General features: G+C 39.1%; 1 protein-coding gene across 1 annotated transcript in view, besides 2 other annotated features; it reads left to right on the top strand.

The window, feature by feature from the left end:
- ATG2B (autophagy related 2B) overlaps positions 1 to 16,277 on the top strand; it is an 84,147-nt gene extending 67,870 nt beyond the window's left edge. Inside the window, exons 36-42 of the mRNA NM_018036.7 lie at positions 305 to 512; positions 3,374 to 3,443; positions 3,790 to 3,872; positions 4,537 to 4,658; positions 4,882 to 5,036; positions 5,667 to 5,816; positions 9,487 to 16,277. Coding sequence (NP_060506.6) covers positions 305 to 512; positions 3,374 to 3,443; positions 3,790 to 3,872; positions 4,537 to 4,658; positions 4,882 to 5,036; positions 5,667 to 5,816; positions 9,487 to 9,717 — 1,019 coding nt within the window. The 3' untranslated portion in view covers positions 9,718 to 16,277. The remainder of the gene's footprint in view (positions 1 to 304; positions 513 to 3,373; positions 3,444 to 3,789; positions 3,873 to 4,536; positions 4,659 to 4,881; positions 5,037 to 5,666; positions 5,817 to 9,486) is intronic.
- Positions 8,908 to 9,077: an enhancer, noted in NCBI's record as "experimental_38870 CRE fragment used in MPRA reporter constructs". NCBI's record gives its function as "activates a minimal promoter by MPRAs in K562 erythroleukemia cells, with activity observed for both the introgressed and non-introgressed 14:96752817 variant alleles {active_cell/tissue: K562}" and the evidence as "EXISTENCE:reporter gene assay evidence [ECO:0000049][PMID:34662402]".
- Positions 12,612 to 13,152: an enhancer, noted in NCBI's record as "NANOG hESC enhancer chr14:96748657-96749197 (GRCh37/hg19 assembly coordinates)". NCBI's record gives its function as "activates a minimal SCP1, AML or CMV promoter by ChIP-STARR-seq in naive H9 embryonic stem cells {active_cell/tissue: H9 hESC(naive)}" and the evidence as "EXISTENCE:reporter gene assay evidence [ECO:0000049][PMID:30033119]".

The raw sequence follows: 17,101 nt of genomic DNA, 5'->3' as shown, positions 1-17,101 counted from the left end.
TGTATAGTTGAAAAGACTATACCAAGTACTTGGATTGATTTTAATTGTTATGAGGCTTTTTTGAGAATGTACTTACAATATTTATTCCCACTTACATAAATGTGTTCTGTGTTTATTTTTGTTGATTCGCGAATACTGTTTATATAAAAGTAATAATTTAAAAGGTGAAAGCAAATTTTCTCTGTAACAAGAATCGTATTTTGATTAAATAAAATGTAGAAAAACAAATTAGATCAAGATTGATTTAAATGTTTGCTAAGAAGAAGCATATCTAATTTTTCAAACATGCACATTACATTTTCAGTTAAAAAGTCTCCTGGAGCTGATGTCACCTGCAGTTTGCCAAGGCATTTGAGTACCTCAAAGGAGCCAAATCTGGTTATTTCTTTCTCTGGGCCAAAACAGCCTTCCCAAAATGATAGTGCCAATTCAGTGGAAGTGGTTAATGGCATGGAAGAGAAGAACTTCTCTGCTGAAGAAGCATCTTTTAGGGATCAGCCTGTGTTTTTTAGGTAACTAATTTAGTTTTAATAACAAATGAAGTTATTTTAGACTTTTGAAGATTGTTCTGTGATGTATGTGTGCTGGTAATCATGAGGTTCCGTCAGCTTTTCTTTGCACTGCCAAATCATCAGCTGGTGTATTTATCTGTTTGTGGTCCCCATCTAATTGCACCCCCCTTATTTGCACATAGTAACCTGGTTCCAAATTCGTCTCTCTTTCAATTCTCTGGCAGGAATTTCCTTTTCTTCTAGCTTCTTCCTTCTTTTTCTCTCCTCTGTCCCCTCTTTCCAGCACTGTTATGGTGTGTTTGTACCAGCCCAGCAGGATATCATCCTTTTGCTTTTTTTCCTTTATGTATCTCAACCTGGCTATGCCTGTCTGTCTTTTCCCTTGTGGGGATTTTCTACCTATTTTCTCTGTCTGCCCTTCCCAGTCGTTATGTGTCTTTCCTGACCCTTCCCTCCCTGCTCAGTGGGCACTGTTAAGAGACCCAGGTCCGCTGTGCTGCTGCCGTCGGCTGTGACTGCTGCCCAACGGCTCGGCCAGCTCGAGCACAGCACACTGCAGTTTCCTCATTTACAGACCTGTTTGTTCTTCTCATCTTCTTTCTTTTCCAAAACTGGATGGTAGGGATGGTGGCTTGGCCCTATGGGAAAGAGAAGGGACTGAAGATCAGTGCCCCCTTGTTATGAGGAGCAGTTACATCTTCCCTGATTTTCTGTGCTGCTTTCTCATATGTCCCGGGTTGCTGATTTCTCTCTTTCTCTCTAGGTTCTGAAGTTAGACTTTAGGCATGGGCCAAAGTCAGCAGTATTACTAATTGGAAGGGTTGTCACGTTTTAAATATTTTGCATAGTGATGAAAATAGGTAGAAAAAATGGAATATGATAATTGGAAAGATCTTGGAATAGATGATTCCTGGTGGTTCTAAATCTTTCCACCGCCAAAGAAGGACCTTTTAAAATTAATTTCCTACATTGATCCTTTTATTTTTACAAAAACATGTATCTTAAGTGATAATATGCATTCTTATTTTATTAGTCACATTTATAAACTGCCAATTTGGTTTTTGTAAACATGGGCCTGAAAGCAAAGAATTTTGCCTTTTTTTTTTAGCCCAGAGGAAGTAGGGTTACCCATTTATTTACGTTTAAAAAGTACACAAGCCCTATACTTACTTAGGTAAATGTTTATTTTTTCCATTAGACTATTTAAAATATTGAGAATAGCTTATAGATTTTCATTTGTACTCTCAAAGGCTCCTAATCAGTGCCATAGTCTAAATTACACACCTTACAAATGAGGAAATGAATGCCCAGAGAGATTAGTTGACTTGCTCAAGACCACAGTTCGTGGCCAAGGCACAACTAGAACACAGATTTTCTTATCTCTAATCCAGAAAATCCAGTACAGTTTTTAGTAATGTCATGAGAGCCCCCTTCCTCCAAACATTTATTCATTTTACAAATATTTACTGAGCACTTAACTGTATGCCAGGTTTTGATCTAGGCACAAATGAACAAAGTAGAGAAAATATTTAATTGAGTTTACAAATTGAGATTACAAATAATTAAAATAAATGGTTTGTCCTATTAATATGTGCCATGGAGAAAAAAAAAGTGAGAAAGGAGAGTATTGGAGGGCACTGGCCCGACAGCCAAGTGGAGCTGAGTATTCAGGGGATGGGCGTGACCTGGGGTCTGAGGCTTCTGGTAGTGATTGGTGTAAATATAGCATCTCCATTTTGTTGTAGGCGCAGTGGACTTTGGTGAGATGGCTTAGGATGTAACCACCAACATTAATTCTGTGGGAAAACTGTGTTTCAAGTTCCAAACATTGTTTGCAGCCAACTTTTGGAAGCCAGATCATTTTGTTAGATGTGTACCATCAGTGTACAACCAGCCCTCTATATCTGGAATTCTACATCTGAGATTCAACCAAAATATTAATTAAAAAAGGCAATAAAAATAATACAAATTAAAAATACAAAAATGATTTGCACAGCATTTACATTGTATTAATACTATAAGTAATCTAGAAATGATTTAGAGTATATGAAAGGATATGTGTGGCATATATGCAAATACTATCCCATTTTATATAAGGGACTTGAACATCAAGGGGTTTGGTATCCATAAAGGCCCTGGAAGCAATCCACTTCAGAAACCAAGGGACAACTGTATAATTATAATTTCATTCTCACACCGTTCCCTATATTTGTTTGTCGATAATTCTGTTTACTTAGAATCATTAGTTTCAAGGATTCTCACAAAATTTAACAATGTAGGTGGCATTTTAACAATTTCTGAAGACTGAGCAGCAGAGAGTTCAAGTGACTTGCCCACAGTTGCATGTCATAGATGAACCTGGGGTTCATGCCAGGATTGCTGGCTCTGTTTTACCAGACAGTCAAAATAATTCCTTAGGCCTTCTCTTTATATTTCTTGGTCATGACTATCTGGTTTAATCTTGAAGGTTGCTTTTATTAATTTATTCTTTGAATGAATTGTGAATATATATAAGAATAAATTTTTGTAAGTGTACATTATTTCATAAACTGAGAAAAGGTTTTTATTACATTTTATGTTAGTATTATTTTTATTTTCCTACACTATATAGACGTAACTAAGAAAAGCTTTCTGTGAGAAATGCAAATATAATAATATATGAGATGATTAACATCTGTTTAATTGTTATATTAGGAAAAGATAGAGCTAAAAGACATTCTCTTTTATTTAGTTCTTAAGATATTTATATGATTTATTTTGTGGTTTTGTTTTTATTCTCCAATTGAACAAATTAATTTATATCTAATTTCACCTATTAGTAATTGTAAATGTAAATAACTCCCTCCTTCCTTTATCTTCAGAGAATTTAGATTCACGTCAGAAGTTCCCATTCGACTTGATTATCATGGCAAACATGTATCAATGGATCAGGTTGGGAAACTCTACAAATATACTCCACAAAATTATCATATGTTTCTCTAATGAGCTCGTTTTTATTTTTAACTTTGCTTTGTCATAGTTTATATATATGTTTGAAATGAAGTGCAAGGTTTTTAAATTTAATTGTTTTTAATGTAAATATTTACTTAAGTACCATGAGTAAAATTTGGTATAAATTGGGTCATATGTATTGTAAGATATATATTTTTACTGTAAATATTTTAAGTGTTTTAGTATCAATAATGACTACTGCTTTGACTTTCAAAATAACAATTATTTTAGATGTTGAGTCTCTTAATTTACAGTAAGGTTAATTTGGCCTTTTTTAATTTTGAAGGGTACGCTAGCTGGGATTTTGATTGGTCTGGCTCAGTTAAACTGCTCTGAACTAAAGCTCAAGAGGCTTTCCTATCGACATGGGTAAGTGAATTTATTATATGAAGCTTTAAGTGAAGTTATCAAAGTTAGTGTACAACAAATTTAAAAACTGAGTTTTCTTAGCATGCATACACAATTTTACAGTATTTTATTTAGAGAGCTCATTTTTAGAGGACTCTTAAGATTTAGGCACTGATTTCTATTCTGAGGGATTAGAAGTAGTTTGAAAAGAGTAGTATTTGGAAAAAACAGTTATAGTTTAGGATATTTTAAATAATTTTCTAAGGTTGTAAATTAGCTTATTCAGTGAAAAGATTGGAAGTTCTTAGTAGCAATTACTGGCAATTTAGAAACTTTGGGTTAATCTTATGCCAAAGCCTTAAGATGTTCAAGAAATAAGAACATTGGAAAAACACACTAATACGTATTACCTGAGTCTTGTAGAAATTATTAACATTAGAATTGGATTTTATATATATGTGTGTGTGTATGTATGTATATGTATATTTAGAGAAATTCAGGTTGTGAGTTAAAAGGATGATTTGTGTTTCTTTTTGATTTGAAAAATGTTACCTGTTTTTGAAGCACCTGTAATATTTGCCCTTATAATTTGTAGAATTTGTTTTAAGTAAAAAAAAACCCTCAAACTAATCTGTGTCTATAAATGTATTTCTCCTTTTGACATACTAATAATCATTTGCTCTAGTTTACTAGGCGTTGACAAATTATTCTCATATGCAATCACTGAGTGGCTTAATGACATTAAGAAGAACCAGCTACCAGGAATCCTGGGAGGTGTTGGACCTATGCATTCACTAGTACAATTAGGTGAGTTTTCTTCTTTTTTAATCAAAAGATAAGTTATTTTTTCAGATGAGTAATTCTTATCCCTTTGAGAACTTATGTGAGGACCATTAGTCTAGAAAACTCACATATGTACTCATATACACAAAACTTTGCCTCCAGTTTTAGGAGTTAAAAACCCCAGGGTTAGAATGATAGAAAAGTCTGAACTGTGGCACTGATGTTGATTTTGTGTTGACTGTTGTAGTACAAGGCCTAAAGGACTTGGTCTGGCTCCCAATAGAGCAGTACCGGAAGGATGGCCGCATTGTCAGAGGGTTTCAGAGAGGCGCTGCTTCCTTTGGTACCTCGACAGCGATGGCTGCTCTAGAACTCACAAACAGAATGGTTCAAACCATACAGGTATCTTTTTAGACTGCCTTAGTCTATCCAAAAAGAGCCATTGTGAAATGGTTGGGTCCTTTTGTTTTTAAAACGATACTGTGAAGATATACAAAATGTTGTGAGTAGATACTTTATTCGTAGTGATTTAATGTCATGCTTGTTTTATTGCTTAAATGTTTAGTGTTAAATAATTAGAATAAAGCAGTGGAATACAGTGTCAGATTTGTTTGCCTATTTCAGGTAAATTGTAAACATTAAGTTAGCAGAGGATTGATTTCACCATATTTGTATGAAAGGATCGTAGCTAAATTTGAAGAAGGCGTTGTAGATTAAACAGAAGTATTAAAGATCATTCTAGTAAGTATTAAGCTCCATAGACTGATGTGGAAATGTTGAGTGTTCTCAGTGAACAGAGGAGGGGCTAAAAATTTAGCTCAATCCAGGTGTTAGTTATTAATTTATACTTTTATGTTCTCGTTATAAAAGTCATCAATTCTTGTGGTAAAGAATTCAGATACGCAGAAGTGTCTTCATTAGGGTTTGTGAGTTCCTCTGCTCTTCCTCACTCCCTGTAGGAAGTGCTCTGCTGGTCCGTAACTCTTCAGACTTTCTTCTAATTCATTTCTTCCTTTTGACAAAATGATCCAGGCAGCTGCAGAGACTGCTTATGATATGGTGTCTCCTGGTACCCTTTCTATCGAGCCCAAGAAGACCAAAAGGTTTCCTCATCACCGGTTAGCCCACCAGCCAGTAGACCTGAGGGAAGGTGTGGCCAAGGCCTACAGTGTTGTGAAAGAGGTAACTGAATACTTGGGTGGACACATCAGAACCCTTCTGTGCGCTTTCCCAACTTTCACCTAAAGAGCATTTAATGGCTTAAATGTATTCTGTAGAAATCCCTGGGAGCAGAATGGCAACTGCCACTAATAACATGTGCCCATATCTGTGTGAGGTGATGGAAAAGGGCCAGTCTGGGACCAATAGGCTGACAGGAATACTAGTGATTGCGTGGGTGGATGGATTCTCTCTCTTCACCTGCAGAAGCACTCAGGGAGTGATAGAAACAAATGCCGTGTGATCGCTGTCTAGGTTTAACACATTTATACTCTGCCCTGCTTACCTCAGATTTGCTTAAGAACTAGAACTTTTCAGATGAATCTCCCACCCTGATCCTATTCCCATGCCTTCACTATGCTGAACGTGGAACATATTTTTTTGTACATGTTTTTATATAGTTTTATTATGTATGTATTTTTATTTAGTATGTATTTATAAGCAAAACATACTAGTGTTAATGTTTTAAAAGTTTCCGTAAATGGTGTTATGTGTCTCATTCTGCAACTTATTTCAAGATAGATCCATGTTAATCTTAATCCATGTAGGTCTAATTTCCACAGTTTTATGGTATTTCACTGTATGAATATATCATAATTTATTTATTTTCCTGTTGGTGGACATTCAGTTTCCATTTTTCCCCTGAAACACCACTATGGGGAGTGCTCATTTAACTCTCTTTTTGTTCATATGTACAAGAAATTCTTTAGGGTCAACTGGGGAGTAACCGTTGGAATCTCGACATGTATTAAGCATTGCTGAATTGCTCTCTGACACGGTTGTGCCAGTGAACCCTGTTTTTTTTTTTTTTTCTGGGTGTTGTCAGCGTCATTCCCTGGCATACTCTTTTTGACATTCTTTTTAATATGACATAAGGGAGTTTGAGGTCATTTGACTTATGATTTGTGTTTTAGGATTTCATGAAAGATATTTTTCTCAGTCATATTCTAACAACAGTCAGACGTGCCTAGGATGGTCTTTTACTTGAGAAAAGTAGCCTCTGTGGTCCCAAACGGCAGGAAGTCCACGAAGGTAGGGCCCCAAGAAATGTATTAGTGGATAAATAAAGGTAAGACCAATGGTCAGCTTTGAAAAAAAGATTTACTGGGGAGAATAAAGAGATAATTACCAGTCAGATTTGCTCCTACAGATGTCAGGATTGAGCCAGCTATCAATAGGCTAAAATTAGATCTGTGAAACAGACACTGGGGTTAGTAAGGGCAGTGGGCAGTAAGATGTAATAGCAGTTTGATTTAACAACTTGTGAAGTGGTTGCCTAATTTAATCTATATTAATTTTAAAATAAATGTGTGCTTACTTTGTGCCAAATATATGGTAATCACCATTAGAGATAGGCGATATTTCTAATTTACAGATGAGGAAACGGGTTCTGCCAGACAGTGGCCTTCCCCAAGTACCACAGAGAAAAGGGAGTGGAGCCAGGATTGGAACTGGGTATTTGGGTTTAAAGTTTAGTTCTCTTTCTCTAAGCTGTCACTAGGAAGAATGAGGGAAGGGAGGGTGAGATTAGTAAGTGTGGATTGAGATGGTAGGATGTGCTTGTTTGGACTTGCTCTGGATTCTCTATTAAAGTTAAAAAAAAAAAAGTTCCTAAGTGGTGCTTGGTATTTCTTTTCCATTTTAGATGTCAGTAAGTCAAAGATGAAGAGAAAATGCCTTGTGTGTGTCATAGATAGGCTCATCTTTTAGATCAGAAGTTGGCAGACTAGGCTGCAGGGTAGACTAGCCATGCCTCTTTTGTATGGGCCTTTGAGCTATTAATAATGGTATTTACAATTTTAAAGGATTGTAAAACAAAACAAAACAAAAAATAAATAACAGAGACCATGGCCCACAAATACCTTCTGTGTGGCCCTTACATAAAAAGTATGTCAACCCCTACTTACATAGTTCTATTTGGTGGTAGTCAGGCACTTACGAGGGTGGTAGTAGGAATTATTTATTGAACACTTACTGTCTTCCAAACTCTGTCAAGCTCTTGAGATGAATTATTTAATTCTAACAATCACCGTAGGAGGAAGGCAGCATTTTAGTTCCCTCTTTAAATGACTTATCTAAGGTCACACAGCTAAATAATAGGGCTGAGACTGGAATTTACTTCTGTTGTCCGCAAACGTAGTGGTGGTCGGCCTCGTACTCTACTCATCTACTCCTGTTTATCGCAGGTGGGATAGGGAGGAGAGCTGGTGGAGAGGGGAGGGAGATGGTGCAGGGAAATGTACAAGTTGTAAACATTGTTGTGCTCATGGTTTCTCTTATTGGCTGTTATCCTCTAGATAGTTTTTAAAGTAGTACTTATTATTTCTTTGAGTTTTTCTGGACACGTTTTTTTTTTTTTTTTTTTTGAGACGGAGTCTCGCTCTGTTGCCCAGGCTGGAGTGCAGTGGCATGATCTCGGCTCTCTGCAAGCTCTGCCTCCTGGTTCACGCCATTCTCCTGCCTCAGCCTCCCAAGTAGCTGGGACTACAGGCGCCTGCCACCACGCCCGGCTAGTTTTGTGTATTTTTAGTAGAGACGGGGTTTCACTGTGTTAGCCAGGATGGTCTTGATCTCCTGACCTCGTGATCCGCCTGCCTCGGCCTCCTAAAGTGCTGAGATTACAGGTGTGAGCCACCGCGCCCGGCCTTCTGGACATCTTTTTTATTGCTCTGTGGTATTACGTTTTTGCCAGATATACTGGGTAGATAGGACGCTCTTGTTAACTTGCCAAAATGATGGCTAGATTCTGGGTTAGTTCAAGGTCCTTGATTTCCCTGGAGAACTCAAAGTTCCTTTATGCTGTCCCCATCACTGAAGCTGTCACAATAATATAATAATATAATAATAATAATGGAATGTTGCTTTGAGTTCCCTAGGGATTTCTGAGTTAGATAAATGGTAAAGATTCAGAAGTCATGTGAAGTTTTACCACATTGGTTTGACCTACATGTTTGTATATTCAGCTTCAAAGCTCAGAAGTCATTACTAGCATAGAGACTGAATAAATGAAAAAGAAAGCTTAGCAATCATCATTATTTTATTATGTTGTGAGAAAGATGGAAAATGCTACTAAAGTTTTGTTGAGAATTATTAAACATGTTCCTGCTTTTTGTTCTCAGAATTCTCTAATCCAATAAAATGTTCTATTGAGCTTTTTATCTTAATTGAATTTTCCATTTTTTTCCTAATACATAGCCAGTAATTTAAAACAAATTAAGTAATTTCCCAGAGCTTAGTAGAATTAGGTTGAATCAAAGGGAACTATCACCATATTTCTTTAGTGAATATATTCAAGAAGCTTTGTTTGCCAAGTTTGATTTAACTGGAGTGATTAATAGTACCAGCAAAGCCCGTATTTCTGTCTTCCCAATGCGAAATTTTAGTTTACCTACATTTTCCACGCACTAGTGTCACAACAAAATACTAAGTCATAATTGCCTCTTTCCCTTATAGTTAGAATTCTGTCATTAAAAATAATAATCCTGGTTTATCTAAAAGCATGGCATTTTTTTTTGTCTGGTTACAAACATAATGTTACCTGCTTTAAAAGTGTGTACTGCAGGATAGCTTAGAGAGTTTTCCGACCAGAGTTTGTTCACTGCCCTCCTCTCTCCTACCTCCCTCCTCTACGCAGGGAATCACAGACACGGCTCAGACCATTTATGAAACTGCGGCTCGAGAACACGAGAGCAGAGGGGTGACTGGTGCCGTGGGCGAGGTTCTGCGCCAGATTCCTCCGGCAGTGGTGAAACCTCTGATTGTTGCCACAGAAGCAACGTCAAACGTGCTGGGTGGCATGAGAAACCAAATTAGGCCAGATGTCCGGCAAGACGAGTCACAGAAATGGCGCCACGGGGATGACTGATGGCTTGGAACTGACAGTGTGAAGATAAGGAGAGTGGAACCAGGAGCTCAGAGTCCTGACAGCAGCTTCAGAGGAAGCTCGTTTAATTTTATTGTGCTCATCTCAGGAACAAAAGCATTTTTTAGTTAAATAATTTAACATCAAAACAACATGCAACCAAAAACTTCTGACATTTATAGTTGATACTTGCCTATAGAAATGTTTGGTGGCTGGTGTCAAAGGTCCTTAAAGCATTTGCTGCCAAGTTAGTGGAAGGCTCACTTTTGTTAAGATGACTGTAATTCTCCTTGTTACCGACGAGAGATCATTGGAAGCTGCCTTCTAACACTTTGTGTAGCTCTGTGGAGTTGGATTTTCTTAAGGTTTAAAAAGAATCACAGCTTCGGAACTTTTAACTGAAAATGAGAGACAGAAGCCACAGGGGAAGCAAAGCAAATAGGATTTTCAATATAAATATCAGTGTGGAAAAATAACCTATTCTGTTGAATTTAGTGTTCATGCACTTGAGAACAACATTATTTCCATTTACTCCGAAAATCCTTCTGTGGGGGTTTGAGAAAGTGAATGTTGCAGACATGTTCTGTTGTGTTGCACTTTATCCTGTGTTTATGTGTATGTGTTTTTAGATTAATTCAAGTTGTGTGCTATATTTCTTGTATAATTTACAAAGTTACACAAAATATAAAGAGCAGTAAACTTGTCTGAAAGTTTTTGGCAAAGGAAGGTAACTTCAATGTAATAGCTTCCTTTAAGAGTACAGGAAAATGCATTCTGTAATGAAGTGGGGCCCATGTAATTGTTTATATTTTCAGTTTTAAGCAGGTATAGTGCAGGCTTGTTAGGAATGTGTGGAAGGGAAGATTGGAAGTGATTTTTCCTCTTTTAAAAGTAAACAAAATTCTTCAAATATGCCCTAGTTAACTATTTCAGCATACCATTTTTACTTGGTTAACAGTGTACATTTTGATAACCTATCAGGAATGAATAAAGTATTTTTATTTAAAGGTGATATTGTTTTATGCTTCCATGAATATTTTGCTTTTCTTAGAGCATATTCATAGATGCAGTACTGTGATTTACCACAAGATAATTGGGAACACTTTCTCAAAATCGATTTTGGTTAATATCAGGTAAATCATTACCTAGGAGTAAGAGGGAAATTGTTGTCAATTCCTGACTTTAGATTGATCCAGCAGAAAGAAAAGGTGGAACTTTGTATATATCCACTGTTGAAAGTTGCATGACCTGACTTCCTGTTTTCTAAAGTTGGGGGAATATTATTGAACTTCAATTTCAGAACTGCATTTCAATTTGGGGCTTGGAAAATGTAGTTAAATCAATTTCGTTCTCTAAATTTTCTAAGCAGGAAAGCAATGTAAACCAAAAATCAAAATGTTTAGAATTTATAAAAATGGGGTTATATAGCTTTTAATTTTAGTTTCCTTTTTACTGCCAAAAAACTTAAAAAGACAACAGCGTAACCACCTGTTTAAGCACCGTGGGACCATCTCTTATTCGGGTAGAGCCTGGTCCTGGCGACACACTAACAGGAAGGCGTGCTGTGTTACCGGGAAGGCGCCTCTGGCTGTGGGGTGCGTTCTGACCACCCCGCTCAGATGCCAGCATTTTCCATTTGCCCTTAAGGAAACTTGCTATGTGTGTTAACCCAGTTATGATTAGTCAAACTGGAAAACACTTGATCAAACTTAAAATTGTAAAATCTGTCTAACTTTTAAATATACTTTCCACAGTTGTACTTAAGTTCAATTAACTACAGTATAGAGAAAAATAATTATTCTCTTCTTTGCACCCGGAGTTGCAAACAAATTAAGTTTACAAATCTCATTTAAACATATATCTTTGTAATGTAATCTCCGCGGTTCTTTCTTTGTTCTACCCTCCTGCACCTGTTGTCGATGTAATCATTTTGGGAACAGAAACGTTGTGTCTCAAAAAGATTCGTTGTCAGTTCAGCCAAGATGTTCTTTACCTGAGATTCTGGAAAGATGTTTATCTATATCGGAACACTTCTACATTATTAAATGTCCTTAAGCTTTTTCTTTTTTACAAGTGTCTTTTCAGACTTTGGTGTTGTGATGACACAGTAGAAAGAGCGTGGCTAGAATCCGTGGTTTGCCACATCTGCAGCTTACCAAACGGATGACTTGTCCAGGACATCTGATCCCTGTAAGCCTCAGCATCCCTCCTGGTAAATGGAGGGTTTTTTACGACAAAGCCCAAAGGGAGGTTTTGGATGATTAGGCTGTGTGTGCGTGTGAGAATGATCACATGTGGCGTCATGCTTTGTACAGAGCCTCAGACCACTGGGCCTCGTCCAGTGAGAGTCCTCTCTGGCGACATCACACGCGGAGCAGCCAGGGGCCACCTTAGATCTCAGATCTCTCAGAGCAATACTTTTCTGAACTGCCACTGTGCCTGGGTGGTTGGGTTGGTGTCATGCTTCTGACTAGAGTAGATCGCGCATGTCCACCAGTGATACGTTGAGTCCTTACAGTTCCCCCCATGGAGTCCCATAAGCAGCTCCATCGAGATCTGTCAGCAAGTTGCAGGACCCCACAATGTTCTGACATGTTAAGACCCCCTTACATGACGAGTAGAGAGGCAGCTGAGGCCACAACCGTGTCTTCCTCTTGAATGGAGCTAACTCGGAACCCCCCGTTTTCTCTTCCTTTCTGCCCACCACTGAACATTGCCTTTTAGATAACTCAGTGTTTCTTCTAGATGTCATAGCAATAGACTTTCACTTTCATGAAGTTTGGGTACGATTTGGATTCTCGCTTAAGTACATATATTTATCAATATTTTTATAAGGCAAAGTTCACTTAAAAAATCTTTCCAAGTAGCAGTGTGCCTAAGATGGCAAAATACTAAAAACTGGTGTTTCCTGCTCCTGTTGTGTGTCACTTTTCAAGCCGATTGAAATATTTCTGGCTTTTAGGGCATTACTTTTTAACTATCTCCTTTAAAAACGATGTTCTGTAGGTTTAGTGTCTTTGTTCATTTCCAAAAGAGTCCAGACAACTGTGTCTGCCCCTGCAGAGGCTGTTTGTCCAAAGGCAGCATGCCGCTTCCACCGGAATGCAGACAGCAGGGGAGCGGAATTCTAAAGCAGCGACTTAAAATGAGGAATCCCCAATTGCACTAAATGGTTTCAGGATTGACTAATCATTGTCTTAACATTAACTCAGATTTTCAATGTGTAAAGAGCTGTGTGACTTGGCGTCTGAGAGATCCCTCTGCTTTGCTTTGCTTCAGAGTCCTCGCACCCGCATCCTCAGAACTGTGGGGCATGGTGGGCTCTAACGAGCACTCCCCTTCTGTTTTCCTTCATTACTTTTGACCTCCTTAAGACTTCAGAGAGAATGTCCGTCAAGTTCTTTTCTCCATCAAGTTCTTTAAGTTCCTTGAAAGGAAGGGACTGTGCAAACACAAAGCAATATTCTTTTGTATCTGCAAATGCATCAGCTGGACATACCAATTGGTATCAAATAGAATAAAATCAAATATAAATGTTTGAGTCTTAGGTTAAAAAGGAAGGTTATTTGTATAGTTTATAGATAATGAAGGAAAAATTTCTTTTTCATTGCAGGAAATCTTGTTTACTGGAAGATAGAGTCACTCTTTTCATATAAGACAAATAGTGCTTTAATGCCAACTTCTTTTTATCTCAACATTTCAGGATCATGCTAGGCACACTGCCCCCTTGAATAGACATTATATGCACAGTTGCAAGTCAGCCAATGTTTTTATTCAGAAGTATTTCCCCCCATTATAGTGCCTGCATATCAGAGATACAAAAAGCATCCAACACACTACCGTAATAGGCTTCTTTGGGGATGAGAAATTTGAGTCTCAACAACTCAGAGTTTGAGATGTCAGCTTTTTTGGTAAACGTAGGTGTTAGAGGTATATTTTGCTTTCCTACAACAATTGTTGGCCCTTGATTTCAAGCATGTTGCTTCATAGGAAGCACCAGAGTGCCATCTGCTGCATTTCAAGAGATTGTAAATGTCATCTCAGCTGGCTCAGTTATATCTCTAATGTCCCGGGTAGCAGCACCTCCCTCTAAAAATATGTTTACTTCACTGTTTCACTTGTATTTTGTGTATACGAAATGGCAGCTTCCGATTTCTAGTTGGATTTGTCTTGCATTGTTTGTATAACTTGCTGGTCACCCAGGGCTATTTGCTTTTTCATTGAGAAATTTGGTAGGGGTGTCTAGTTCAGCTTTTATGTTGATCCATCCTGACTTATTTTAGACATTGAATTTATCTCACCACAAGTAAAAGAACATGTGTATTGACTGTCTTTGCTAAGTTTCCTAATTTTTCCTAATTATGGCAATTATGGATGTGAATAAGAATACTGATGCTGTACAAATATTTTTGTGGAAATGTACCTTGTTAATGTGACTATTTAAATAATATGAAAATAAGAATACTCTTGAAGAAAAAATTAAAATATTTACTCTTTGGATTTTGCTTTAAACACTTGTCTTTCACCAAGAAGTGTTCCCAAAACTTGTGTAAAATACTTATTGGGGTGGGGTGTACATCTGCCTCAGACCTTGTTATTGGGAAATGATGTTCCAGTGCCCCTGATGCTTCTGATAGCAGATCTTGGGTCTGTCTGCTACTGATTGCTGAGCTGTATGGAGTTTTAACAGTTCTTCCCTCCCTGCTTTGGATTTTAGTCCCTCTATTAGTTATCCTATCCCTGCAATAAGGACTTGCAGCAAACACACCTCCTAGTTTGATATCACGAAACTGATAACTATTTGGAGGAGTATTTTTACTTATGAAGGGAATATTTAAAAGACATACTTATTTTTATTTTATTTATTTATTTTTTCAGACGGAGCTTTGCTCTTGTTGCCCAGGCTGGAGTACAATGGAGCAATCTTAGCTCACTGCAGCCTCCACCTCCTGGGTTCAAGCGATTCTCTTGCCTCAGCCTCCTGAGTAGTTGGGATTACAGGCACCTGCCACCACGCCCCACAAATTTTTTGTTTTTTTAGTAGAGACGAGGTTTCACCGTGTTGGCCAGGTTAACCTCAGCCTGGTCTCGAACTCTTGACCTCAGCCTCCAAAAATGCTGGGATTACAGGCATGAGCCACCGTGCCTGGCCAGACATACTTATTTTTAAGGGCAATTTACTTTAAAAGATTTTGTTGTGACAGATGTGACTATATAACATCCACTTTGAACAATTAGGGAAAAAATGACAAGTCACACTTCACCCATGGCTCTTGTTGAAAAAAGGGATGGGGACAATTGTGAGATGCTTACTGTGTGCCAAGTATCCTACTGTCTTTTTATAATTTCACAGCCCCCACTCAGAGGCAGTTACTAGAGTCCCTGTTTTCCAGATGAGGAGACAGGTTCAGAGAGGTCAAGAAACTTGCTCACCGTCACATGGTTTGACTTCCAGACCTCATGCTCTTCCCAGGACTTCATTTAAGAAAAGCTTGGAGCAGTTACCTAACTTAGCAAAAAGTCTTCACTAATTGGGAAACCACAGAATTTTGCTAGAAGATTGAGATTAAAGGCTCTTAGAATATTTGAGCAAGAAAATGTGCTTGATCTCTTCCTGGCGTCTCCAGCCCCTCTCCCCTCTTCTGGCTGTGCTTAGCCACCCCAGCGGTTCAGTTCTGCATGCCCGTGAGTAGGGGTTAGCACCACCTGGAAGATTTCTTTCTATAAATGCTGCACCACAGGCCACAGTCAACACTGATTAAAGCAAAATCTCAGAATGGGGCTAAAGTCGGGTTTCTCCACCTCAGCAGTTGACATTTGGGACCAGCCTGTGCATTGTAGGATGCAGGGGATGTTGCCACCCTCCCACCCCCCGCTGGCCTCTGGCCACTGGATGCCAGTAACAAACTCCCCTCCCCCAGTTGTGACAGCCAAAGACGTCTCCAGACATGGCCAAATATGCCAAATATGACAAAAATCCCCTGTTAAAAATCACTGGGCTAAGAGCTCTCCTGGGGAAAATCATGCACAGCCTGGGGCAAGAACGCGCTATGGCCGCCCCAACTCGGATGCTCTGTCGGGATCTCTGGCTGCTCCTGCTGTCTCAGCCCGGAGGCTCCACTTCAGGCAGCCTGGCCACCCTCCCTTCCTCTCTGTTTCCCACTATAGCATGCTTTCCTTTTTTTTGTTTGTTAAACTTTGCGGCACTCCCCGCATACTGTAGATCCACGTCTGTTTCCCTGTTTGACTTCCTTCAGGAGGGCAAGGGACTTAGGGACCCGGTGCCTAGCACAGTGCCTTGCCCAGAGTCAGGGATCAGCAAATGGTGAATGAGTGAATGAATGAATGAATGAGTGAGTGAACCCGAGTGGTCATCTAGTCCTGTCTGCAGGTGAGGAAATCGAAGCCCGGAGAGGGGAAATTCTTTGCCCAAGATCACATGATTACTACTTACAGATGTCCTTTATTCAATGTAAGCTCACGTTTTCTTGATTTTAGCAATACTTGTAATAATTTTTAAAATATAAATATATATGAAATAAAAGTTCATCATTGATTGACTATTTCCTATGTGGCGACTCCTCTGCTTGGCACTCGACAACACTCTTGGCCACTGTGTCATGGTTCCCAAACTTGTCTGCACATTAGTCCCCTGGGGAGCTTTAAAAATACACCCCAGGGATTGGGATTTAGCTGGTCTTTGGTGTGGGCTGCGCTTTGGCATTTTTGAGAGATCCCCTGGTTCTCATGTGCAGACAAGTTCTGAGACCCAGTGTATTACACTGCCCTGCCTCATTCACCAGGGCAGGGGGACATTCACATTCAGTATCAGCCAGGGTATGTAACATTCACATTCAGTATCAGTATTGACAATGTAACATTCACATTCAGTATCAGCCAGGGTCCCAGCAAGAGATGTGACCACTCCATGTGACAGACAGGTGCTAGGAAGGAAATACTCAGCACATGGTGGGCAGCACAGGGTAAGGGAAGCCCACAGGCACCTCGTGGCTGTCTCTGAGCCAAGTGAAGACTTGGTAGCTCTTCTCTAATCCCCTCTCAGCTCTGGGCCTGCCCTGGCCTCAAAGTCATGTGAGCCAATGGCCATTCCTCACCTTTTGTGGCTCTCCTTGTGGGAATGGGATTAGGATGCCCCTCCTTCTTCATCCATCTCTCAAGAGACTGAACACCAGGCACAGCCACAGTCCTGAAAAGACGAAGGGAGCGATTCCCAAAACTTAATAGCTGAAAGAGGGCTGCCTGACCGGAGCTATGACCCTAGGTGGAGGGAAGCAGCCAGAGGGATAGACCCCCACCCCCACTCTCCTGCCCTCCCATCTCCTGCTGGAACCTCCCATGGGTAGAATGTGGCTCATGCCCAGTCCAT

This window comes from Homo sapiens, chromosome 14 (genome assembly GCF_000001405.40).
Source record: "Homo sapiens chromosome 14, GRCh38.p14 Primary Assembly".
NCBI lineage: Eukaryota > Metazoa > Chordata > Mammalia > Primates > Hominidae > Homo > Homo sapiens.
The sequence above is the reverse complement of the archived record's forward strand: the minus strand, read 5'-3'. Positions and strand labels throughout refer to the sequence as shown.